The 26257-nt window shown below is 47.2% G+C and overlaps 2 protein-coding genes and 1 pseudogene across 13 annotated transcripts, besides 1 other annotated feature; 2 read left to right on the plus strand and 1 right to left on the minus strand.

Moving 5' to 3' along the window:
- The first annotated feature begins 1951 nt into the window (after positions 1 to 1951).
- Positions 1952 to 5180, plus strand: LOC124903761 (uncharacterized). Its single transcript, XM_047435035.1, has 3 exons — positions 1952 to 2012; positions 3084 to 3817; positions 5091 to 5180. The coding sequence occupies exons 1-2, from the start codon at positions 1952 to 1954 to the stop codon at positions 3770 to 3772; spliced, it is 750 nt and encodes a 249-aa protein (XP_047290991.1). The 3' UTR covers positions 3773 to 3817; positions 5091 to 5180.
- Positions 2859 to 3492, minus strand: PAWRP2 (pro-apoptotic WT1 regulator pseudogene 2; annotated as a pseudogene).
- Positions 4684 to 25761, plus strand: NPIPB9 (nuclear pore complex interacting protein family member B9). Of its 12 annotated transcripts, XM_017022825.3 has the most exons (9): positions 5403 to 5489; positions 10704 to 10980; positions 11579 to 11666; positions 15148 to 15330; positions 18979 to 19078; positions 19191 to 19386; positions 23485 to 23545; positions 23655 to 23690; positions 25050 to 25758. In XM_017022825.3, the coding sequence occupies exons 3-9, from the start codon at positions 11601 to 11603 to the stop codon at positions 25650 to 25652; spliced, it is 1245 nt and encodes a 414-aa protein (XP_016878314.1). In that variant the 5' UTR covers positions 5403 to 5489; positions 10704 to 10980; positions 11579 to 11600; the 3' UTR covers positions 25653 to 25758. The 12 variants fall into 12 exon arrangements, 11 of the variants coding, with proteins under 11 accessions (NP_001274179.1, XP_011543995.1, XP_016878314.1 ...); NR_176858.1 differs by lacking the exon at positions 11579 to 11666 and having other exon boundaries at positions 4684 to 5489; positions 10895 to 10980; positions 25050 to 25761; XM_011545693.4 differs by lacking the exon at positions 11579 to 11666 and having other exon boundaries at positions 5370 to 5489; positions 10894 to 10980.
- Positions 11923 to 12423: an enhancer, noted in NCBI's record as "H3K4me1 hESC enhancer chr16:28770347-28770847 (GRCh37/hg19 assembly coordinates)". NCBI's record gives its function as "activates a minimal SCP1, AML or CMV promoter by ChIP-STARR-seq in naive H9 embryonic stem cells {active_cell/tissue: H9 hESC(naive)}" and the evidence as "EXISTENCE:reporter gene assay evidence [ECO:0000049][PMID:30033119]".
- Positions 25762 to 26257: the final 496 nt, after the last annotated feature.

Below are 26257 nucleotides of genomic sequence, written 5' to 3' on the forward strand. Positions count from 1 at the left end.
GGGGCGATGGTGGGCGCAGGGCGATGAGGGGGGACGGCCGGGGGCTCGGAGGGGACTGCTCCCCGGCCAGTGTAGTCAGTCCGACTACGGCTACCTACGTCTCATCTATAGCTTCTTGAGGGGCTGGCGGCCGGGGCAGCGTAATGACAGGGCTTTGGTCTGGATGACGCCCCGCCCCGGGCCAGCCTGGGCCCCGCAGGGCAGTTGGTGAGGGACACAAGTTGGACCAGAAGCGCGAGCGCGGAGAGTCCTGCGGGTCCAAGCCGCGGGCGGCACCGGGCGAGGCCGAGTCCATGCGGTCCGGGCTGGGCGCCGCGCTTGGGGGCAGCGGGCCTGGGCCCCAGACGAGGCGTGGACCTGCTGGCCCGGCCCGCCGTGGCTGTTGTCCATTTTTTAATGGGATTATTTGGGATTTTTGTTTTTGAGTTCTTATATGTTCTGGGTATTAATCCTTTGATGGATGAATAGTTTGCAAAAATTTTCTCCCATTCTGTGGGTTGTCTCTTCACTTTGTTTTTTTATTTATTTTAGACGGAGTCTCACTCTGTGGCCCAGGTTGGAGTGCAGTGGCACAATCTCGGCTCACTGCAACCTTCGCTTCCCGGGTTCAAGCAGTTCTCCTGCCTCAGCCTCCCTAGTAGCTGGGGATTACAGGCACCCACCACCATCCCCAGCTAATTATTTGTATTTTAGTAGAGACAGGGTTTCACTATGTTGGCCAGGCTGGTCTAGAACTCCTGACTTCAAGTGATCTGCCCGCCTTGGCCTCCCAAAGTGCTGGGATTACAGGCATGAGCTACCGTGCCTGGTCTACTTTGTTTATTTTTAATTTTAATTAAACAAATTTTTTTTCTGTGCAGAAGCTTTTTAGCTTGATGTAATTCTATTTATCAATTTTTGCTTTGGTTGTCTGTGTTTTTGAAGTCTTACTCAAGAAATCTTTGCCTAGACAAGTGTTATAAAGCATTTCCCCAATGTTTTCTACTAATATTTTCATAGTTTCTTTTCTTTTCTTTTCTTTTTTTTTTTTTGAGATGGAGTCTCACTCTGTCACCCAGGCTGGAGTGCAGTGGTGCAATCTCAGCTCACTGCAACCTCCACCCCTTGGGTTCAAGCAATTCTTCCGCCTCCCTCCCTAGTAGCTGGGATTACAGGTGTGCGCTACCACGCCTGGCTAATTTTTGTATTTTTAGTAGAGACGGGGTTTCGCCATGTTGGCCAGGCTGGTCTCGAACGCCTGAGCTCGGGCAATCCTCCCGCCTCGGCCTGGGCTGGGATTACAGGTGTGAGCCACAGTGCCCAGCCTGTAGTTTCTTACATATAAGTTTTTAATTAATTTCAATTTGATTTTTATATATGGTGAAGCACAGGGGTCTAGTTTTATTCTTCACACATAGATATATCTCATTTTCCCAGCACCACTTATTGAAGACACCATCTGTTTCCCCATGGTATGTTTTTGGTGCCTCGGTGCAAAATGAGCTGGCTGTAAATGCATGGATTTATTTCTGGGTTCTCTGTTGTGTTCCACTGGGCCATGAAATCCTTCCTTTCCAATATTATAAAGTCACCATTTTCCCGTTTCCCTCCTGTCACCCTTGCTGTGTTTGGGCCAAGCAGGGCAGGCAGGACCCAGAACTTGATGTGGCCAGGTGAGGCCAGAGCCTCTCTAGGCTGCTCAAGAAATCTGCGCTGAGGTCCTTGGTCTGCAGGGAGAACCAAATCCCCATCGATGACCCCACAAAACACTGTTAGGTAAACCACAGTGTGAAACAGCTTGAGAAATAGAATCTGTGTCATATCCAACATTTACTCACACTCATGATTGCGAGACTGGGATACCTAAGCAGGAGGAACCAGAAGAGCACCCTCTTCCCCTGCATGTCCAGGTCCCCTTTAGGTCACCTAGGGCATGTGGCTGGAAGCAGGGGCTTCTGGATAGGGGCAGGCTATGGTCGGGGACAGTGGGGGTGGTGGGCCCTGGGCAGTAGGGGTGGTGGTGTTAGTGAAAGGTCTGAGGCAGGGCAGAGATCAGGAGGAATGGCATTCCAGCAGGATTCAGAGATAGGCCAGTAGGTCGGCAGACACAGGAGCAGGTGGCCTGGGACTCAGAGGAGCAGCTGGAGTTGGAGGAGAAGGGCCCTGCTTTCCTCCAGTCTTCTTCTGTTTGGGTGCTGCATTAGCACCCCACTGCACCCCCAACCCCTGTCCCTCCCCTTCCCTCACTCCCTGAGTCTTAGAACCCATTCCTTCATCCCCAGCATGCACCTTCTTCTTTTTTTTTTTTTTTTTTTTGAAACAGAATCTCATTCTTGTTGCCCAGGCTGCAATGGAGTGGCACGATCTCAGCTCACTGCAACTCCCACCTCCCAGGTTCAAGCAATTCTCCCTGCCTCAGCCTCCCAAGTAGCTGGGATTACGGGTGCACACCACCACTCCTGGCTAATTTTTGTATTTTTAGTAGAGATGGGGTTTCGCCATGTTGGCCAGGCTGGTCTCGAACTCCTGACCTCAGGTGATCTGCCCGCCTCGGCCTCCCAAGGTGCTGGGATTACAGGCGTGAGCCACAGTACCCAGCCGCAGCATGCACCTTCTTAAGGACAGTTCCTTTCTGGATCCTTCCTAGGGTTCTGATTTCTAATCCTTCCTAACCCAGCTCACTGCCCCCCACCACCACCCTCCATCCCCCCATTCTGCCTCAGTTTCTCCTTTCCTGATTCCCACAATTTCCAGCAATCAGTCTTGGCCTCAGATTCCTGTCCTTCAGGTTCCAGTGTTCCTTGGGTCCTCTCTCTCCTGTGATCCTCTCTGATTAGGGGTGGGAGGGTGTGAGTTGGAATTAAACCCAGCCTTTATTGGAGTCCTAGGGCTGGATTCTGCATTGTGCTCTGCTGTGTCATTGCACCTTCTCGTTTCCGCTCTTTCTGACTTGCTTCATCCTCTTCATACTCTAAGCTCAGCCAGCGCATGTTGACCCCACCGGTGGAGCGCCGCTCCTTCCCACCTGCTGCTTCTCCTTCTCCATCTCCACCTCTCCATCTTCTGCTCCTGGCCATTCCTGGCACGGGGACCCGAGCTCTGAGCTCTTGCCTTTTTCTGGGGCACCGTCTTCTCCTTCTCGTCACCCCGGGCAGTGCCCCTGGGCTCCTCGGCTGCTGCGGGCCTGGGCCACCCGTGTCAGCGCGGCCCTGCTGACAGCGCAGTTCACACCCGGGGCGGCCGCGGCAGGTGCAGTGCGAGGGGCGCCACCTGTAGGCTGGTGTGGGCACTGCCTAGAGGTTGCTGTGGCGCCGTCTGGAGGTTGCCGTGGCTCTCGTTGGCGCCCAGCGCCGCGCCCGGGGCTTCATGGCTGTGTCGCTGCTGCCCCCTCCCAGGGCCGCAGGGCCCGGGTTCCACTTGGCGGCGTCTTCTCGCGAGTCGCTTTCGCTGCTCCAAGAAGTCGGCGGTGCAGCAACTGACGCCGCTGCTGCTCCGGTCGCCGCAGGTCGCCATATTCCTCGCGGGGGCCGGCCGGGCTCTCGGCTCAGGCCGCCCACCCTGCTCCGGCCGCCGCCGCCTCTCCGTTCCCGCAGCCAGAGGAGGCGAGGGAGCGACCTCCAGGCACTGGGCGCCCGCCGCTTCCCCAGCAGCCGGCGGGGCGGGGAAGAAAGACGCCAGGAAGCGGAAGGCCCCCGCCGGCCCGAGGGTCGCCCGGGGCTGTGCCCCATGGTTCCTGGCCCGCGAGCAGCTGCTGGGACCCCCCCTTGCCAAGTTGCTCCCCGAAAAGCTCTAAGGTTCTCAGGCCTGCAGGGAGTGACAGTTTCCCCCTGACTGTAACGTAAGGCTGCAAACTCGAAGCCAGGAATTTTCTGCATATTCTTAAATAGGATGTTTCAGTCAAAGCCTTGATAATATAACCAATCTTTCTGATTGTAGCCTGCTTATAAAGAGAACATATGTACATGAAAATAAGAATATTTATGAATAGTTTCCAAACTTTAGAAGGATCAGATAGGGAGGAAAAACAAACGCTTCCACCCACCTTTGTTCACAAAAGTGTGCTTTACCAAATCGGTGTAAATTCTAGATAACTTCTGAGAAAAACCTTTCTTCAATCTAGAAAACAAAACAAGGGCCGGGCGCGGCGGCTCAAGCCTGTAATCCCAGCACTTTGGGAGGCCCAGGCAGGGGGTGATCACCTGAAATCGAGAGTTGGAGACCAGCCTGGCCAACATGGTGAAACCCCGGTCTCTGCTACAAATACAAAAACTAGCTGGGCGTGGTGGCGGGCGCCTGTAATCCCAGCTACTCGGGAGGGTGAGGCAGGAGAATTGCTTGAACTGAGCGGAGATCCTGCCACTGCACTCCAGCCTGGGTGACAGAGTGAGACTCTGTCTCAAAATAAAAATAAAGAATGAATCAACAATGTTTTAAATACCAGTTATAAAAACATTATCGTAATAGATTTTTTTGTTTTGCTTGATCTCGCTTAGCAGTTTTTTGAACCATTTTTTCCTTATTAGAAACCACTAGAAATTGGTTTTTAGTTCATTGATTTTTGTTTATTTTTATTTTTATTTCTGAGACACAGTCTCAGTCTGTCGCCCAGGCTGGAGTGCAGTGGCACAATTTTGGCTCACTGCAACCTCTGCCTCCCAGGTTCAAGCAATTCTCATGCCTCAGCCTCCCGAGTAGCTGGGATTGTGTGCCAAATCATTCACCCCTCACCACAACCGAATGAGCTAAGGATTCTCATTATATATAGTTTATGGAGAGGGAAGTGCAGACATAAAGAGGTGAATTGTCTTACCCAGATCACACAGCTGATAAGTGGTGGAGGCAGAATAGAATCTAAACAGTGTGGCTCCGGAGCCCACATGCATTGATTCGACAAGTGTTTATTGAGCACCTGCCACGGACAAGGCCTTGTGTGATTAAATAGGGTTATAATTAGTAATATAAAAATGAGAAATCACTAATGCTTTTTAGACTTAACATTTTCTTTTTTTGTAGGTTTCAGGCACAGAACTGTATATCCAATAATAGTGAAATGGATCCCACTAATTATGACAGAAATGATGATACATTTAAATGACTTGGATGTTTTATAGGTATGATCTCGTGAAACCTTGAGAGAAACTGAATGACGAATGAAACTATTGTTCCTGTTTCACACAGAAGAAAACTGAGGTTAAAAGGGGTAAAGTAATTTTGCATGGCATGAAGTAGAAATTCAAAGTACAGGAATTTGAACTTGGTTCTGTCCTTTTCTGAAGCCCTTGACCACTATAGACTCAAACATCACCTTGTTTTTCCACTCATTCAACACTTTTTTTTTAAATTATCTAATAGGTTGGCACTCATGATGAGCCCCTGTTCTCATTCTGCAAATGGTGAAGCTCTCTATTGTCCTGACCCCACAGTTCCTGTCGCATGACCAGAGCCAGTTCACCAAGGAGCTGCAGCAGCATGTAAAGTCAGTGACATGCCCATGCGAGTACCTGAGGAAGGTGAGTGAGTGCAGACAGATGGGGCCTGGTGCCCTTGAGCAGTTCCCGGGTCTCAGCTGCCACACATCTCATAGCGGGTGATGCTGGGGGAAGCTTACGCAGTCACAGTACTGGCTTCTTCCTCTTTTTCTTTCCATACAAGTGGCTTAGGGATGGGGTAGAGTAGTTGACTTATTTGGATGAAAACCACTATCTTCTGTCAGAAACTCAAAAGGAATCATTGCTGGCATGGTAACCTAAAGAAAAACAACCAGACAAGTGCCCAACGACACTTAAAAAGTTTATTTATTATCTTGCCAAGTTTAGGCTGGGCATGGTGACTCATGCCTGTAATCCCAGCATTTTGGGAGGCTGAGGCTGGTGGATCACCTGAGGCCAGGACTTCAAGACCAGCCTGACCAATATGGCAAAATCTCGTCCCTACTAAAAATACAAAAATTAGCCGGGCATGGTGGTGTGAGCCTGTAGTCCCAGCTACTCAGGAGGCTGAGACAGGAGAATTGCTTAGATTCAGGAGGTGGAGGTTTTAGTGGGCCGAGATCATGCCATTGCACTCCAGACTGTGCGACAGAGCGAGACTCTGTCAAAAAAAAAAAAAAATTATCCTGCAAAATTTGAAAAGGAAATTCAAATCAACAGCTTCTAAACTACTTTTTAACATGACTCATAATAAGAAATACATTCTATAGTACATATATATGTTCTATAATTTTGAATAAAAGAATTAACCACATCACATTTATTTTACTACATGTAATACATATTTTTTATTCTCCTTCATTTGTTTTGAATGCTCTGTGCAGTCTACAAAAAGTCCAATGGTAATAATTAAATTAGTCATTAAGTTGAACATTATCTTGTCTTTTAAAATGATAATCTCAAAAATGATCTTTTATTTTTGAGATTTATATAGATACACACACACACACACACATACATACACACACACACACACACACACACACACACACACACACACATATAGAGAGAGAGACAGAGTTTCACTCTGTCGCCCAGGCTGGAGTGCAGTGGCACAACCTTGGCTCACTGCAACCTCTGTCTCCCGGGTTCAAGCAATTCCTCTGCCTCAGCCTCTGAGTAGCTGGGACTACAGGTGTGCACCATCATGCCCAGCTAATTTTTGTATTCTTAGTAGAGATGGGGTTTCACCATATTGGCCAGGCTCGTGTCAACTCCTGACCTCGTAATCTGCCCACCGTGGCCTCCCAAAGTGCTGGGACTATAGGTGTGAGCCGCTGCACCCGGTCCAAGATAAAATTATTTTAACAATATACTATGAAGAGAAAAACACTGGCTATGAAAGAATATGCATAGTTTTACCCTGTTTAAAAATAAAGATTGAAAGAATACATATGCAAATAAGTTTACTTTTATTTTTGGTAATACTTTACTGGATTGTCTGAATATTGACAATCAGTATGCATCATGAAGCTACATGGCTAACATTGAGTACTGACTGTGTGTGCCAGGCCCTGGGTTCAATGCTCTACATGCACTTATATTTCATTTAATTCTCTCTGCAACCTGAGATGGTATAGCCACCTCATTTTACAGAGTTGAAACTGAGGCTCAGAGACTGAAAGTTAAGCCTGAGGTTACAGTCAATAAGAGGCAGAGCTGGAACTGAAACCTACGTGTGTCTGACCACCAGTTCCTGTTCTGACGGCAGGCTAGTCTGCATCACAGAGTGTGGGGTAGATGGTGCATGCCTGCTAGGATGGGCTAGGTATCACTGTAGGTAAGAAACAGCCCCAAACGATGGAAATGTACACCACTGAAGGCTCTTTTCCTGCCCATGCTGCACATCCTCCATGGCTCTCCTGTGCCCTGTGCCCCACATGCCCTCATCCTGCCACGAGAATAAAGGAGCAGCCTCCATATGGGAGCTGTCAGCTGCTCTAAGAGATGAAGGAGAGGGTGGCCAGTCTCAATGGCTCCCAACTCTTTTGCCTCGAGGTGACACGCTTCACTTCCACTCACATCTCTTGGGTCAAAGCAAATCCCATGGGTACATCCACTTTCAAGTGGCCCAAGAGAGAACCTGAAATACTCGGTGGACTCCATTAAGGCTGTCATATGGTGTCAGCCTGCATGGGAGACTGTGGAGGGGCAGAGGAGGAGAGTGGGGAACTGATGGGAAATGACAGGAGGACTAAGTCACCGCAGATTTGCTTTATCCTCAGCCAGGTGGAGTTTGTCCCAGAGCTGCACAAAATCATCACCAACATGATGAAACAGAGTAGACTTCAGAAAAAGCAGTTTGGTCGGATGTAATCAGCAGTGAACTCAGAATCAATTGAGTGACATTGAGTCAGTAAATCTCTGACTGCCTCAGTTACCCCATATGATAGTTTTGAGGATGGGAACATTGAGAGAGTTGATTTGGAAGGATATCAAGAGTAAAAATTCCAACATTTTTAGTTCCTTTAAGTTAAATCCAGGCACTGTCTTTCCTGCAAGTCTCCTGTTCCTTTCAGATTGCACAGGTGAGAGTGCTCAGATTAGGGCTGGAGGTTGTAAACTATTGCTCCCACACTGACAGTGCCCCCGTGTCGTGCATGTATTCTGTGCATTTTCCTGTGCTAAACACTCTCCCAAAACAGCGTGGGGCCTGATTCTTCCTCTTTGTTCCAATGGCCCTGGGTGACTCAAGTGCCCATTCAATGACCAGGACACAGAGGTCTTAGAGAGATGCTCCATGAGGCCCCAGGTGCGAGCCTGTACCCTGCCGGAGCATGAGGCAAGGGACAGGGCATCGTCTGTGGGGATAGTGGGGGTAGTGGTCAGCCAGGCTTGGTGACTCTACTTGCTCACCAGATGATCCTACACCTGCCACCTCCAATGGATCCACTGCCTCTGTGCCTGCCTGTACTGCTGATGCTCCAGTGGATAACTCAGCATCCCAGCCTAGGCCCAATGCCACTGAAGATGGACCTGCACCCTGGGGACCCAGGAGTCCTACCACTCAGCTGTCCCCAGGAGTGCCCAGACCCTCATTCTTATCCAGGACCTAGGAGCCCTACCCCTGGCCTTCCCTCATCAGCCGTAAATGATGATTTACTGCTGTTACCATCATCACTGCCTTCAGTGACCAAGGGCCTTCCAAGGTGCCAGCTCTGGAACGAAAGATGCCCTTGGGAGGTGATGACACTCAGGTACACGGGTGCTCAACAGATTGCTTCCTCCTATCCTCAGACGGTCTTTGCATTCATGCAGCCATTGGCACTCCCATTGTATGGAAGGAAACCAGCCCAGGGTCACACAGCTGGTCAGCAGCAACATAGCTGGTCTCAAATCTAAGGTGCCTGGCCATGCCTCCATGAGGGACCGCCTGCAAGGGAGGTTGATCCTGGCTTTGGGGAGCCTTTCCTGGGCTGCACGAATAACCTCCATTGTTCGAGACCCCAAACTCTGCTCACATCTTCCTTTCCCTGTCTCTGCTTGGGCTATGATCACGGTGACTCTAGCAACCCTTCATGGACATTATAGTACTCTCTGCCATTCACTTTTGGTCTAATCTGACTTCAACCCCCACTTACTTGGTCTCTCCTTTTACAACCAACACAACCGAAATCTAGGGCTTTTTTTTTTTTTTTTTCTTTTTGAGACAGAGTCTCATTCCATTCTGTCACCCAGGCTGGAGTGCAATGGTACGATCTCGGCTCACTGCAACCTCCGCCTCCCGGGTCCAAGGGATTGTCCTGCCTCAGCCTCCTGAGTAGCTGGGATTACAGGCGGGTGCCACCATGCCTGGCTAATTTTTGTATTTTTAGTAGAGACAGGGTTTCACCATGTTGGTCAGGCTGGTCTCGAACTTCTAACCTCGTGATCCGCCTGCCTCAGCCTCCCAAAGTGCTGGGATTACAGGCGTGAGCCACCATGCCCAGCCAAATCTAGGGCTGGAACATGGCTGCAGCATATAAATAGAATTGAATTCCATAGTTTTGTTAACCCTGTTTTTTGTTTGTTTGTAGTTGTTGCTGTTTTTGAGACAAGAGTCTCTCTCTGTCGCCTAGTCTGGAGTGCAGTGGTGCAATCTCGGCTCACTGCAGACTCTGCCTCCCGGGTTCAAACTATTCTCCTGCCTCAGCCTCCCAAGTAGGTGGGACTAAGGCGCCCACCACCACACCCGGCTAATTTTTATATTTTATTAGAGACAGGGTTTCACCATATTGGCCAGGCTGGTCTGGAACTCCTGACCTTGTGATCCGCCGACCTCGGCCTCCCAAAGTGCTGGGATTACAGGCGTGAGCCACCACACCCAGCCCCTGTTTTGTTTTTGTTTTGCTTGTTTCTTAGGGTTGTTTTTCTATTTATGGTAAAGGCATTGGCTTTCCATTTGTAGCATCAATAGAATATTTCCTGTTTACAATAACCTTATGTCATAGTAAATGGTAAAGGGATTTAAAGCAGTGGTTTTCAGCTCCCAGAGGCCTGAGTGAGTTTGGGCACACTCTGTGTGATCAGGCAGAAGGCCTGTGGGAAGTTTAGCTGAGGACAGGGCCAGGAAAGGTGATGGACAGTGGGGGTCTGTCCTGGTCACCAGACCCCTGCGTCCTGCCCACCTGCTTGGAGCTCCCCACCCATCACACATGATGCTGCCAAGCCCTCTGGGTATTGTGGGCAAATACCTTAGGAGAGAAGCTGCTGAACTTTGTTTCTTGAAATGCACAGATTCCTTGGACATCCCTGAGAGGTCAATCATGAAGGTCAACTTGGTTTTCTCCCCCTCATTTGGGTTCAGAATTTAAAGTCCACACACACAGGCAGTAAGATGATTATAGATAAGGACATCATCACTCGGTTTCGGATGTTAAAATGTCTAGGTGGGTTAGGGGTGATTTGAGATCACACAACCTTGTGCCACAAAGAGGAATTCCCAGGCCAGAGGGAGACATTTTATTGCCATGTTATGATCTTATCATTGAGTTGAAAGGCAATCTTGTTTCATTTTGGATTCTTTCTTATGTTTATGTCTTATAAGGGCACTTTGAATTTCCAAGCAAATAATAATTTTGAATTAGCTTTTAATCATTGACTTCTAGCACAGTTATATGATCAGAAACGTGCTGTGTGATTTGATTGCTCTCAAATATATTGAGATTTGCTGGAACAAAATAAGTCAGGTTAATTTTTGTAAATGTACCATGCATGCTTAAAATGAATGTATCTACATTTGTTCCTGAGATACAGGTTGATGGACGGATGGCTACATGGATGTGATGGAGATGGTTTACTATCGGGACCTTCCGCATCCTGCTGATGTTTTGTTGCTTAGGATATGAATGGCTGAGCGGAGGCTGTAAAACCTGGCACTCTGCTTGGGTATGAGGTTCTTCCTGCCATCCTGCCATCATTTGTTTTTTATGTTTTGTCACCAAAAGTGACCTTGAGGAACCCTGGGAGCTCAGGAAGGAAGGAGCGCCCAGAAGCAGGGACAGGGAGCTGGTTGGGGAGGACCAGAAATCAGGTTTGTGAAGGTTCCAGAGAGGACCTGTCCTTGCGAGGAGTGTGGGAGACTGAGATGGGGGAGGGGTCATTGGAATGATGCGGGCGCTACTTGGCATTGTCCATTGTGAGGCACCACCGGGGTCATCAGGGATTGGTGGAGAGGGAGTATAAAGCCCCAGGTTTGCTAAGGGAGGGCCCAGACCGAAGAAGGTTTGGCGGATAGCAGAACCTTTTTGTCTCCCTCTAATTGCTCCTAAGCCTCACGCTCCCTTGCCCCGCGTGTCCTGTTGCTTCCCTGATCTTCTCCGTGACCTGTAGCTAAACCTTCCACCAGCGCTTGAGAACTTAATTTGAACCGGATCCTTTCCCAGACCCCTTTCTTCTTCTCCTCCTCCTCCTCCACCTCCTCCAGGTGCCCAACAGCCCCCTTCTCCTTTCCCTTCCCTTACTTCCCCCCTTCCCCTCCCCTTCCCCTTCCCCTCCCCCTCCCCTTCCCCTCCCCCTCCCCTTCCCCTCCCCCTCCCCTGCCCCTCCCCAACTCAGATCCGGCCCCGGTCCCCGTCCCCTTCCCTCCCCCCTGCCCTAAGCCACCTCCACCTCTGTCCTGGCCGCCTCAGGGCACCCTGAAAGGATCATGACATGCGGCTGCGCTTTTGGCTCCTCATTTGGCTCCTGCTGGGATTTATCAGCCATCAGCCCACCCCTGTGAGTAGACGCTGGACCCGCGGGGTTTCTTCCTTTTTACTGGGCTGTGTCACGCGGCATGAAATTACACAGCTCAGGCCTTGTAATCCCAGCACTTTAGGGGGCCGAGGTGGGCAGATCACTTGAGTCCAGGAGTTGAAGACTAGCCAGGGCATCATGGCGAAACCCCATCTCTACAAAAAATTCCAAAAAAGATTAGTCGGGCCTGGTGGTGCGTACCTGTTATCCCAGTTACTGGAGAGGCTGAGGTGGGAGGATCGCTTGGGCCGAGGAGCTGGACGTTGCAGTGAGCCGAGATGGCCCCGCTGCACTCTTGTCTCTAACAAACAAAATGGACCAAAACAAAGTGAAATGTCATTTGATTTGTGTCATCTGGTTTGATGACTTTTTTTTTTTTTTTTTTTTAGACAGAGTCTCACTCTGTCGCCCAGGCTGGAGTGCAGTGGCAAGATCTCGGCTCACTGCAACCTCCGCTTCCGGGGTTCAAGCAATTGTCCTGCCTCAGCCTCCTGAGTAGCTCAGATTACAACGCCTGGCTAATTTTTGTATTTTTAGTAGAGACGGGGTTTCACCATGTTCGCCAGGATAGTCTCCATCTCTTGACCTCGTGATCCGCCTGCCTCGGCCTCCCAGTGCTGGGATTACAGGCGTGAGCCACCGCGCCTGGCCAAAATATATAACCTTAAGTGTAAGTTTACTAACTTTGGAAAGTACTTACACCAGCATAAACCGACCCCCTTTCAAGATCTACATTATTTTATTTATTTATTTATTTATTTGAGACAGTTTCTCCCTTGTTGCCCAGGCTGGAGTGCAATGGGGCAATATCAGCTCACCGCAACCTCTGCTTCCCAGGTTCGAGCGATTCTCCTGCCTCAGCCTCCCGGGTGGCTGGGATTACAGACATGTGCCACCACTCCCAGCTAATTTTGTATTTTTAGTAGAGATAGGGTTTCTCCATGTTGGTCAGGCTGGTTTTGAACTCCCGACCTCAGGTGATCCGCCCGCCTCGGCCTCCCAAAGTGTTGGGATTACAGGCGTGAACCACCGTGCCCAGCCAAGATCTACACTATTATGTCACCCCAGAAAGTGAACTCTCACTCTTCCCAGCCAGTCTCTTTCTTATCATAGGTTAGCTTGCTTATTCTGGAATTTCGCGTATACAGATGCGTGCCATGCCATAGGTACTCTTTTGTGTCTGCTTTATTCTGCTCAACACCATGTTTCTGAAATCATTACCATTGTTGTATGGTTCTCTAACTCCATCATTTCCATTTCAGACTCAGCATATGCTGAGTTCAACCTGTTGAAGGGCTATCTCTGTTTAATTCACCATCTTGAAAGAAACATTTAAAATTGAGATGTTTTCAAGAATATATAGTTAAATCCTGAGGAATCGACGTAGAAATGTTATCACAAGCTGTCTGAACTTACTCAGGGGAAGTCTTCGTCTTCACTCACATAAGAGTCTACTGGAATTAATATCAACAATCTTAGAGAAATCCCACACTATTCATGCCATTTTCATGATCTCCACCTTGGTAATTTTTTTTTTTTTTTTTTTTTTTTTTTTTGAGACAGAGTCTCGCTCTGTCACCCAGGCTGAAGTGCAGTGGTGCGATCTCGGCTCACTGCAACCTCTGCCTCCCGGGTTCAAGTGATTCTTCTGCCTCAGCCTCCCAAGTAGCTGGAACTATAGGCACGTGCCACCATGCCCTGCTAATTTTTTGTAATTTTAGTAGAGATGGGTTTCACCGTGTTAGCTAGGATGGTCTCAATCTCCTGATCTCGTGGTCCACCCACCTCGGCTTCCCAAAGTGCTGAGATTGCAGGCGTGAGCCACCACGCCCAGCCCACCTTGTTAATTTTTAAGCACTAAAATTTGACACTTATTTGTGAATGAAGTAATCTCTTCATTGTATTTTTTTTTTTTTTACTTATGCTGAGCTTCAAATGACAAAGATTCATATAATCCAAGAGAGAAGTATTATTTAGAGGGATTCTTTTACCATGTGATATATAATAAATGCATCCAATGTTATACATCAATTTAAAAAACAAGTAAATAACTTTAAAGAAAAGATAACTACTGGCCAGGTGCAGTGGCTCACACCTGTATTCCCAGCACTTTGGGAGGCCGAGGCAGGTGGATCAAGAGGTCACGAGTTGGAGACCAGCCTGGCCAAGATGGTGAAACCCTGTTTCTACTCAAAATACAAAAATTAGCCGAGTGCGGTGGCAGGCGCCTGTAATCCCAGTTACTCAGTAGCTGAGGCAGGAGAATCGCTTGAACCCGGGAGGCGGAGGTTGCAGTGAGCTGAGATCATGCCACTGCAATCTAGCCTGGGTGACAGAGCAAGACTTTGTCTCCAAACAAAAAGAAAAGATAATTACTTTATACTTAGCTTGTCTTAGCCATGAGTGACGGGCTGCATGTGGCCCAGGACAGTTTTGAATGCAGTTCAACACAAATTTGTAAACTTTCTTAAAACATTAGGAGATTTTGGCCAGGTACAGTGGCTCATGCCTGTAATCCCAGCACTTTGGGAGGCTGAGGCGGGCAGATTACCTGAGGTCAGGAGTTCGAGACCACCCTGGCCAACATGGCAAAACCCCATCTCCACAAAAAATACAAAAATTTGCTGAGTGCATTGTCAGGCACCTGTACTCCCAGCTACTCAGGAGGCTGAGGCAGGAGAATCACTTGAACCTGAGAGGCCGAGGTTGCAGTGAGCCGAGAGCACGCCACTGCACTCCAGCCTGGGTGACAGAGTGAGACCCCATCTCAAAAACAAAACACCAAACAAAAACAAAAACAAAAAAAAATGGCTGGGCACGGTGGCTCACACCTGTAATCCCAGCACTTTGGGAGGCCGAGGCAGGTAGATCGCCTGCCAGGAGTTCAAGGCCAGACTGGCCAACATGGTGAAACCTCATCTCTACTAAAAATACAAAAATGAGTCAGGCATGGTGGCAGAGACCTGTAATCTCAGCTACTCGGGAGGCTGAGGGAGGAGAATGGCTTGAGCCCAGGAGCTGGAGGTTGCAGTGAGCCGAGATTGCACCACTGCACTCCAGCCTGGGCGACTGAGTGGAGCGGAACTCTGTCTCCAAAAAAAAAAAAAAAAGAGTTTTTTTTTTAGATCATCAGCTATTGTTAGTGTTAGTGTATGTTATGTGTGGCTCAAGACAACTTTGTTTCTTTTAATATAGGCAGGGAAGTGAAAAGATTGGATATCCCTGCTTTATACCAAGAAAGACAACACCCCACATTTGCAATGCCTAAAAACACTACCAGCCATCTGAAAAACATGAGACTTCTAACTTCTGTTCTTTTTTGTAGCAGTGGAATCCCACGGTGATATCTGAGGGATGTGGTTACCTTTTGGAGGAGGTTGACGGTTTCTAAGGATGATTCTTTCTGAGTGAAATATTGTCGGTGTCATTGACCTTTTCATTATTTCAACTATTATTATTCCAGGTTATCAATAGTCTGGCTGTCTATCGTCATCGTGAGACTGACTTTGGTGTAGGAGTTCGAGACCACCCTGGCCAACATGGCAAAACCCCATCTCCACAAAAATTGGATAATTTGATAATTATCATTATTGGGTTTCTGAGACGTTACACATTTAACATTCTCTTCTGCACAAGTTGCCTTTGTGTGAGTATACTAACTTTCTGTAGAGGTATACTTGTAATCACAAATAAGAATAAATTATATAAAACAATTCACGTTTCTGGACTTCATTATGAATATGTGGTTTTACCCAAAAAATCAGGGAAATGATTTATTAGCATAAGAATTATGAAAATGTCTGCCATTTACATTATGAAAATTAAATAGGTCGGTGTTTGTTTAATAGAATGTCAACAGAGCTTTTGGTCAAAAATAAGTTTTTTTAGCCTTTGTGCTATTTATCACAAATGGAGTATGAGGTTTCGTCACTTAAATAGGAAATTCTTTCTAAACTCTTCTGCTTTATAGTTCTATCGTATGGGTGGAAGGAAAGCTTCCAATCTCCTCTCTGAAGATTCACTGCAGAAATGAGCTGACAACAGACAGCTTAACAGGAAAAGAAACACATAGAACAGGCATAAACATGGGAACCAGCTGAAAAATGAGACTGCTAGAAGGGCCGGATGGTTGATGCTTAAAGAGCACCCTCTTCTGAGGGGAGAGGGAGATAGATGGAGATGTAGGCCATTTAGAGGGGCAGCAAATGATTTTTAGGGGAAATGAAAGAGGCCAAGGAACAAACAATTGGCCTGAGACAAAGTTCCTCTGAGGTCATAGGGACGAGGTGACAAACTGCCGGAAGGTGAAGGGCAGAACTGCACTGCGTCTCATGATGCAGAGAAAGCCCCAGAGAATCTCTTAGAACTGCCCTCCAAGAGAATCAATGAAAAGTGTGTCTGGGCAGGGTAATTTTGAATGACATCATTCAAAGTGCATGTTCCCACTTGCAACTGGAGAGAGATCAGTATGTCAAAAGTCTGTACTTGGTAAGAATTTGGCTGCTAAGTTGTGCCATAATTTGTCTTTTGAGCCTTTTTTCCTTTGGGTAAGTTGAGCTCTACATTTTGTCTTGCCATTCATGACAGTAAAAATGTGGTTGTCTGGGGGCTGAACCTCCTTCTGAACAATGATCCAAGATAAAAGTACTAATACCACAATGCTTTTTTATATTCAAGGGAAGAGGAAGTATGTTTCAGTTTTACCACCTAGATAATTACACGTCATTTGGCACTGCCTTTCAAGATATGTAGAAAACAGAAAATATATGAGTTATGAAGATATCTAGGCACATTTAACATTCTCTATGCCACTTAGTCCTGAACAGAGAATTTTTGGTATAAATTGGAGGAAGCTTTTTTTTTTTTTTTTCCTTTTCTCACCCCCGAGACGAGTCTCCCTCTGTTGCCCAGGCTGGAGTATAATGGTGTGATCTCGGCTCACTGCAACCTCCACCTCCTGGCTTCAAGCGATTCCCCTGCCTCAGCCTCTCAAGTAGCTGGGATTACAGGTGCCCACCACCATGCCCAGCAAATTTTTGTATTTTTAGTAGAGTCGGGGTTTTACCATGTTGGCCAGGCTAGTCTCAAAACCCGACCTCAAATGATCCACCCGCCTCAGCCTCCCAAAGTGCTGGGATTACAAGCGTGAGCCACCACGTGAGCCAGGGGAAGTTTTTAAACTTACCACTTTTTAACAGTTCCATTTAGGAAAGTTCAGTTGAGCTGCTGGACTTGGACAACTTCGCACCTCTCATCTTTGTCCTTGTCATCTAGTCATCTATACCATTACCTCCTAAGCAGGGACATCATGGGTGCCATGAAGCATTCATGCGTGATGGCATTTCTTTGCTTGTCATTTCTTCATGTGTTTGACATTTCTCCTAGCTCCAAACTGGGCCAGCTACCTTTCCTGTGAAATCTAGTAGTAGCTGTGGGATTGACGTGGTTGCTCTTTTCATCTTTTTAGATTACCCATTGCTTCTCTCGAAATCCTAGTACATGATTTTTTTTTTTATCCTATGTGCAGAAATCAGGAAAAAACAAATTCTACAAAGAATTTGAAAGATATTATTTCAGGCCAGGTGTGGTGGCTCATGCCTGTAATCCCAGCACTTTGGGAGGCTGAGGCAGGTGGATGACTTGAGGTCAGGAGTTCAAGACCAGATGGGCCAACATGGTGAAACCCCATCTCTACTAAAAAGACAAAAATTAGCCAGGCATGGTAGCAGGCACCTGTAATCCCAGCTACTTGGGAGGCCGAGGCACAAGAATCGCTTGAATCTGGGAGGTGGAGGTTGCCGTGAGCCAAGGTAGTGCCACTGCACTTCAGCATGGTTGAGAGTGACACTCCATCTCAAGAAAAAAGTCATTTCAATGACTACCTCAGGAGATTCATAGGTATCTGACCCACATCTGAGATGGGATTTGCATTGCATTTTCGCTATGATGAGAACAAATATTTAATATCTTAGAAGATTAAAAGCATACTGTGATAATATGGAAATCTTGGTGGGAATTCAGTCATTAGTGAGAATGTTTTGCGTTAAGTTCAAACCAGCCTCAATGAAGCTGATGTGAGGGAAGGGAAAGTGAACTCTGAGTAGAGCAGGGACAGAAGGAAGATGCTCCAGTGCAGATCAGGAAGGAGCAGGGGGTGAAATGTTACAAATTCTAGAACTCAGAGAGCTGAAGGTAATTACTTCCTTTTCAAGTTGTGAAACATGTTAACCTGTGGTAAAATACTTATAAGATGATAATTACCATCTAACCGTGTTGAAGTGTACAGTTCAGTTGTGTGAAGTATATTCATGTCATTTTTTTTTTTTTTTTTTTTTGAGACGGAGTCTCACTCTGTCACCAGGCTGGAGTGCAGTGGTGGGATCTTGGCTCACTGCAACCTCTGCCTCCTGGGTTCAAGCAGTTCTCCTGCCTCAGCCTCCCGAGTAGCTGGGACTACAGGCGTGCATCACCATGCTCAGCTAATTTTTGTATTTTTAGTAGAGACGGGGTTTCACCATGTTGCCCAGGATGGTCTCCATCTCTTGACCTTGTGATTCACCCGCCTCAGCCTCCCAAAGTGCTGGGATTATAGGCGTGAGCTACCGCACCTGGGCTATTTTTTTTTTTTTTTTTTTTTTTTGAGACAGAGTTTCAATTTTGTTGCCCAGGTTTGGAGTGCAATGGCACAATCTCAGCTCACCACAACCTTTTCCTGCTGGGTTCAAGTGATTCTCCTGCCTCAGCCTCCTGACTAGCTGGGACTACAGGCATGCACCACCATGCCTGGCTAATTTTGTATTTTTAGCAGAGACAGCGTTTCTCCATGTTGGTGAGGCTGGTCTCAAACTCCCGACCTCAGGTGATCCGCCTGCCTCGGCCTCCCAAAGTGCTGGGATTACAGGAGTGAGCCACCGTGCCAGCCTCATGTCATTCTTGTGTGTGTGTGTGTGTGTGTGTGTGTGTGTGTGTGTGTGTGTGTGTGTGTGTGACAGAGTCTCATTCTGTCGCTCAGGCTGGAGTACAGTGGTGTGATCTCGGCTCACTGCAACCTCCGCCTCCCAGCTTCAAATGGTTCTCTGCCTCAGCCTCCCGAGTAGCTTGGATTACAGGCGCCCGCTGCCATGCCTGGTTAATTTTTGTATTTTTAGTAGAGACAGGGTTTCACCATCTTGGCCAGGCTGGTCTTGAACTCCTGACCCCGTGATCCACCTGCCTCGGCCTCCCAAAGTACTGGGATTATTTATACGCATGAGCCACCGTGCCCAGCCGTCATTCTTATATTATTATTTCCTAGGTGTCTTTCCTGAAGACTATCTTCTGGTCTCGAAATGGACATGATGGATCCATGGATGTACAGCAGAGAGCCTGGAGGTCCAACCGCAGTAGACAGAAAGGTATGGCTCTGTTGGAGTCCCCATAGTGTGGAAATGAGTTTGCCCTGGAAAGGGAAAGAACAGCTTCTTGACCTCAGGTTTCTCACCTTCTCCTCTCCTCACTCTCACCAAGGGCTGAGGTCCATTTGTATGCACACAAAGAAAAGAGTTTCTTCCTTTCGAGGAAATAAAATTGGCCTGAAAGACGTCATTACTCTACGGAGGCATGTGGAAACAAAAGTTAGAGCTAAAATCCGTAAGAGGAAGGTGACAACGAAAATCAACCGTCATGACAAAATCAATGGAAAGAGGAAGACCGCCAGAAAACAGTAAGATGTGCCTTGACACAAATACTGTTGTATGAACCATGTGCCAATCAAAGTAGACAACTGTAAATTCCTTGAGAATATTTTCTACAATATTTGTGGCAAATTCAGTGGGCTCAAAATTGAGTTTGTCCTTTCTGCTTCATTAGTTTAAGCTGTATAATTCCTTTCCCTTCCTACATTCTTGTTTGTAATTTTTTCGGGGGAAGAGGAGTTGCTAGTACTGGCATTGGTTTTCCTTTCTCTCTTTTTTTTTTTTTTTCCTGAGATGGAGCTTTGCTGTTGTTGCCCAGGCTGTAGTGCAATGGCACAATCTCAGCTCACTGCCTTTTGGCTTCAAGCAATTCTCCTGCCTCAGCCTCCCAAGTAGCTGGGATTACAGGTGCCCACCACCACGCCCAGCTAATTTTTGTATTTTTACTAGAGATGGGGTTTCACCATGTTGTCCAGGCTGGTCTCGAACTTCTGACCTCAGGTAATCCACCTGCCTCAGCCTCCCAAAGTGCTGGGATTAGAGGTGTGAGCCACCACACCCAGGCTTTTTTTTTTTTTTTTTAATTTTGAGATAGAATCTCGCTCTGTCGCCCAGGCTGGAGTGGTATGGTGCAATCTTGGCTCACTGCAACCTCTGCCTCCCAGTTTGAAGCAATTCTGCCTCAGCTTCCTGAGTAGCTTGGATTACAGGTGTGTGCCACCACATTCGGCCAATTTTTTTTTTTTTTTTTTTGAGACAGAGTCTCACTCTGTCACCCAGGCTAGAGTGCAGTGGCATGATCTTGGCTCACTGCAACCTCTGCTTCCCAGGTTCAAGTGATTCTTATCCCTCAGCCTCTTGAGTAGCTGGGACTACAGGCATATGCCACCATGCCCGGATAATTTTTGTATTCTTAGTAGAGGCATAGACTTAGTAGAGTAGTTCTAGACCATATTGGCCAAGCTGGTCTAGAACTCTGGACATCATGATCCACACACCTCGGCCTCCCAATGTGCTGGGATTACAGGCGTGAGCCACCGTGCCCGGCCCAATTTTTGTATTTTTAGTAGAGACAGGGGTTCACCATGTTGGCCAGGCTAGTCTTGAACTCCTGACCTCAGGTGATCTGCCTACCTCAGCCTCCCAGTGTGAGCCACCGCACCCAGCCTGGATTGTTGAATTCAATGCTTGGGTCACCTCCAGATTCATTTTCACAGTCTTTCATGTTTTGGTCATATTACATTGTATTTTGCTGCCATATGACTGATCTCTTTTTGTTAAATGTGAGATACTCGTTAAAAAATATTTAGCAATGAATTGAGGCCTAGTGGCATGTTATCTTGCTGCAGAAGAGATGGGAGTCTACTTCTGGGGGATGGTCACGGGTCCTCCATACAGGCTGCAATTGAGGTCGTCGGTGCAGGCTCAGTCCCTACAAAGGCCAGGGTATTTCCTGTCCACCTCTATTCTGATGCATGACTCTTCTGGGTCTCAACCAGAGCCAGTGGACTTCAGTACGGGTCGCTTTCATTGGCAGACCCTCAATCCACTTGTTTTCCATCTAATCCCACGCATGTGTGCAAAAGCTGCTGTGCTTCTTTGCATCTCAGTAGTTCCTTCTGGAATTCAGCAATGAAACTCAGGGAAATGGGTTCCAAATGCGAGGCTGACTTTCGTCCTGGGTTTCCTTCTTCTCCATCTTCACCTCATGTCTGTTTACTGCCATGTTAGCAATTTGATGTATTCAATCATGGGTTTTATATTCTGTTTGGTGTCCCCCATTGTTCTCATCGGAGATCAGAAGCTTCAGATGCACTTATGTCAACTCAAGAGTAGAATGCTTCCTTAGCTTCCCTCCAGAGTCAGGTTTTGTGTTTCTAGTTCCCAAGTGGACAGCAGGAGTAGTGATGTCCTCACTGGCTTCTCATTTGCATTAAGCTGTGAGCTTCTTTACCGTGGGGACAGGACCCTGCTCCCATTGCATTCTCAGCACCACACCACACACTCCTTGTTGGAGGCCACTCCAGACAGCATGTGCTGAAGGATGCCCTGTGGTCAGAAACAAGTTCATTAACTTTCTCTTTGAAGTGTTTTCGCCCCTGTTTCCTAGCGTTCTGGGAATTTTACACATCCTTCCTATAAAACCAAGTATCAGGTGAGATCCTTAGGATCAGGACCATGAATCAAGTGGTGTGAGGGCAACACAGCAAACTTACCCTTTTTAGGCCATTTCCTTTTTCTGCCCTCAATGTCCGTGAAGTGAACCTTGTTAAAGTCAGTCAACACCAGGGTGGATGGTTTGCCGTTGTCACCTATTTTCAGGACATAACACCCTGACTTAGGAGCCATTCCGATCATTTCTAATTCAATAGATGCGCCCAGCATTCAGATTGCCTTTTCTCTCAACCAGGATCTTTAAAGTCGATGACAAGAGTTCCAGTCCTGAATCATGGCAAAGTGCAGTAGTGAACTGCGGGGTTAATGACACCATATTCTGGAAGGATCTCTCTATGGCTGATGGTCTCAGTTCCGGCATCAGCCTCTGACTGAGAAGCAGGTCTCACACAGGAAGAGTCAGATGAGGAGCAATCCTCTGCTTCCGATGGAGTTAGTTGTGATGAGTTGGTGAGGTCTGGTTTTTCACACTGAACTAAAATGATCTTTCGCTGTGTCAAGCACAAGACTGACCCCAGAGACACACATAGTGCACCTCATAGAAGCTTTTAATAGTCTTTATATTTACTAAAGAATAGGACTAACTATGGAACTATGAAGATGAGCTGGAAATGACAGGTGACTTGCCAGCAGGCCAGAGTGTGATTTTTTTTGGTCCCTCAATGGGAGGTGTCCATTCTCCCTTCGGTTGTGAGAATCAGTTGGTTCATTTGTGGGAAGGTTGCAGGGGGGATCTTTGAATCACAGCCTTCAGATGCCAGAAGGGCAGAGGGAATCCCACATGGACTGGTGGATCATGTGTGTGCATTTCTCTCCCTTCTAACCTGAGGAAACTAAGCATGAAAGAATGTGAGCACGCAGAAAAGGAGAGGCAGGTATCAGAGGCAGAGGAAAATGGGAAATTGGATATGAAAGAAATACACACCTACAAGTGAGTTCAGAAACTGAACCCCACCCTCCTGGGAAACGCCCATTGGAGTGCTGTTTTTAACCTCTGTACAATGTTTAGACCCGGTAAATGCAGAAATAGAAACAAACGGTCAGAAGACATATCGTGAGAGAGAGCGAGAGAGAGTTCACAAAACAGAAAACAAAGTACCTTAATATTTACCAGTGACCAAAAGATGTGAAGTAGCAAAACGGCTCCTGACCCCATTGCCAGCTAGACTGTGTGGAAACTCGGTTCATACCAGCCATTCTAGGGGTGGGGTGAGTTGTTGTCATCCTTAGGAAAGTGTGTTGTTGTAGGATCAACCACATCCTTCAAAAGGACTATGCCTGTTTATAAGCCCAGCTGTTTCTGCCCTGTGAAACACGGTAAGGATATTAATACAAAGAGAATACAGCTTTATGATAAAAGATGCTCAATGAAGGATGAATTAGGGATATACTGAGAATGGGGAAGGAAACTATCATCTCAGAAGTCAACAGGCAGTAAGCAAGAGGAGGAATCAATACAGCAACAGTTTGGATCAGACCGTACAGTTTTTTTGTTTTTGTTTTTGTTTTTGTTTTTCTGAGATGGAGTCTCGCTGTGTCACCCAGGCTGGAGTGCAATGACGTGATCTTGGCTCACTGCAACCTCCGCCTCCCAGGTTCAAGTGATTCCCCTGCCTCAGCCTCCCGAGTAGCTGGGATTACAGGTGCCTGCCACCACGCCCGGCTAATCTTTTGTATTTTTAGTAGAGACGGGGTTTCACCGTATTAGCCAGGATGGTCTCAATCTCCTGACCTCGTGATCCATCCGCCTCGCCCTCCCAGAGTGCTGGGACTACAGGCATCAGCCACCGTGACCGGCTCAGACTGTACTCTTATAGCCATCTGAAATACGTTTTCTAGGTAGAGATAGATTGTGTAAGGGTACAGTTGTGAGGATAACAGAAACATGGCAGATTATTTAAAATCATCCTGAACGTGGTGCTTTATCTGATGAAAGTGATTGTAATCCATAGGAAAATGTTTCAACGTGCGCAAGAGTTGCGGCGGCGGGCAGAGGACTACCACAAATGCAAAGTAAGGAGCTTCCTCCCCGCAGTTGCAGGATAGTTCAGTGCTGATGCAGATGATGCCACGGCTCTTAGACTCTCTCAACATTCAATTTCTCATGTGTTGGCTTTTTCAGATCCCCCCTTCTGCAAGAAAGCCTCTTTGCAACTGGGTAAGTTTGTTTGTTTTCCTTGCTTTTGAACATAGTCTGCCAGGTCAGGACATGGATACATTTTTCTCCCTACAGCTCTGTGCTCAAGCCCTGCAGAGGGAGATGGCAGAGAGGAAGGCTGCCTACAGGCATCACAGTCCCATCCCTGTTGGTAACCGTGTTGTGCAAAAACACCTTCATCCCCACCCAGTGGGGCCCCTGATCTAAATTCAAAGTGTCAGAGGTTCCATATTTGTAATAGCAAATGGGCCCTGACTGTAAATTAGTGAAGAGTGAATGTAACTTATTACCCACAGGGACAATTCCAAATGAAGGCCTTAAATGATGCTCAGCTAAGCTGGTTCTTGTGTGGCCTCTGTACCTTCAAAAGCTGCCGAGTCCTATGATTACACGTGATGGGACTTGTACACTTGAAGTGAAACACAGTTTTAAAACTTGCTTTGTTTAGAATTTCCACCTCATTTTTCCATGGACAAAAGTATTCTTTATGTCCTAGTGCACTTACAATTTGGTATTACCTGGGAGTGAAAAGAAATATTACAGCCATGCCTAAGTGACTTCTTGAGGTGAGATTGTTCTGTCAGAAAACCCTCTCCCAGTTCCCCTGCAGCTCTTCAGGAATCCACATCTCTCCAGAGCTCTTTGTTCTCATGGGTGGCACCTCCAGAGTGAAGAAGATCCTTTGTCAAGAAGGGAAACAGAGGGGAAATGAGAGGGTCCTTCAGGCAGAGCTGGAATCAACTTCCACTCTGCCTCTTGCAAGCTGTGTGACCCTGGGCACAATTTCTCCTTCCTCTGGAAACCTCTGTTTTCTTAGATTTGGAGCAGGGTGGTCACACTGACCTTGCAGAGTTCTGAGAGTCAGAGACAGAACATAAAAGGCCTGGAAAACATTCTCCAAAAAGAAGCTGCAACATGTGTGGACAATGGGCTTTTCATGCCTCTCTTACTGTCTCTTACTGTCTGTTGACCTGGTGCAAGAAACATGCTCTGGTGATGGCTGTGAGGGAGGAATGAGGATAGACATAGACACTCCTGTGTCTCAAACATGCTTCTTTATTACTCTGTTATGACTCTGTCTTCCCTGGGGCAGGACCCCAGCCTGCCTACATTTGCAGACAGACACAGTGGCATGTGGAGACAACAGTGTGTCCCAATGACTTTCCTTTACCCTCCAGCTGTCGGCAGTACTCAGTGGAAGGGTGATATTATGACACTGATACTGCTATTTTGAAACCTGGAGGATGGAAAGGTGCAAAAATCTATCACCAGCAACAGAAGGTGCAGACTGTGTTGGTGGTGGTAATTTTGTCCATCAAATGAATATGTGTGAAAACATTCCCTCCTTTGGCCCTACAGGTCAGAATGGCGGCAGCGGAGCATCGTCATTCTTCAGGATTGCCCTACTGGCTCTACCTCACAGCTGAAACTTTAAAAAACAGGATGGGCCGCCAGCCACCTCCTCCAACTCAACAACATTCTATAACTGATAACTCCCTGAGCCTCAAGACACCTCCTGAGTGTCTGCTCACTCCCCTTCCACCCTCAGTGGATGATAATATCAAGGAGTGTCCTCTTGCTCCTCTTCCACCCTCTCCTCTTCCACCCTCAGTGGATGATAATCTGAAGGAATGTCTCTTTGTCCCGCTTCCACCCTCTCCTCTTCCACCCTCAGTGGATGATAATCTGAAGGAATGTCTCTTTGTCCCGCTTCCACCCTCTCCTCTTCCACCCTCAGTGGATGATAATCTCAAGACTCCTCCCTTAGCTACTCAGGAGGCCGAGGTGGAAAAACCACCCAAACCCAAGAGGTGGAGGGTGGATGAGGTGGAACAATCGCCCAAGCCCAAGAGGCAGAGGGAGGCCGAGGCACAACAATTACCCAAACCCAAGAGGCGGAGGTTGAGTAAGCTGAGAACACGCCATTGCACTCAAGCCTGGGCAATAAGAATAAATCCGTAGGTCGAAAAAAAGAAAAAAATCAAAAAACAAAACAAAACCCACGCTCCAAAAACAAACTAACGAAGAATAAATAAATAATATAAAAATAAAATAAATACTGCAGTCCTTATGTTATTGCTTTGTTTCAATATCTGGTATGATTGCCTGAGGGACCTGAGGTTTTTAATTAATTGTAGGGTTTTTTTTTTAATCTTTAGAAGTGGTTGGTTATGTAAAATATTATTATTATTATTATTATTTTTTGAGACTGGGTTTTGCTCTGTCACCCAGGCTGGAGTGCAGTGGCTCGATCACAGCTCACTGCAGCCTCAACCTCCTGGGCTTCAAGCAATCCTCCTGCCTCAGCCTCCCAAGTAGCTGGGATCACAGATGTATGTGTGCCACCACGCCTGGCCAATGTTAAAAAATCCTTTAACTTTTTTGTAGAGATGCACTCCTGGACTCAAGCGATCCTCCTACTGGTCCCGACCACCAGCCTCTTTCTGATAAACATTTACACTGTTTATTATCTGATGCCATTTCTATCTTCTTCCTTGTCGTCCAGACATCAAAGAATTAGGTTTCTTCAGGGTTTTCTTTTTCAAGTCCTCATTGTTAAAGATCAC

This window comes from Homo sapiens, chromosome 16, assembly GCF_000001405.40.
Source record: "Homo sapiens chromosome 16, GRCh38.p14 Primary Assembly".
NCBI classification, from domain to species: domain Eukaryota; kingdom Metazoa; phylum Chordata; class Mammalia; order Primates; family Hominidae; genus Homo; species Homo sapiens.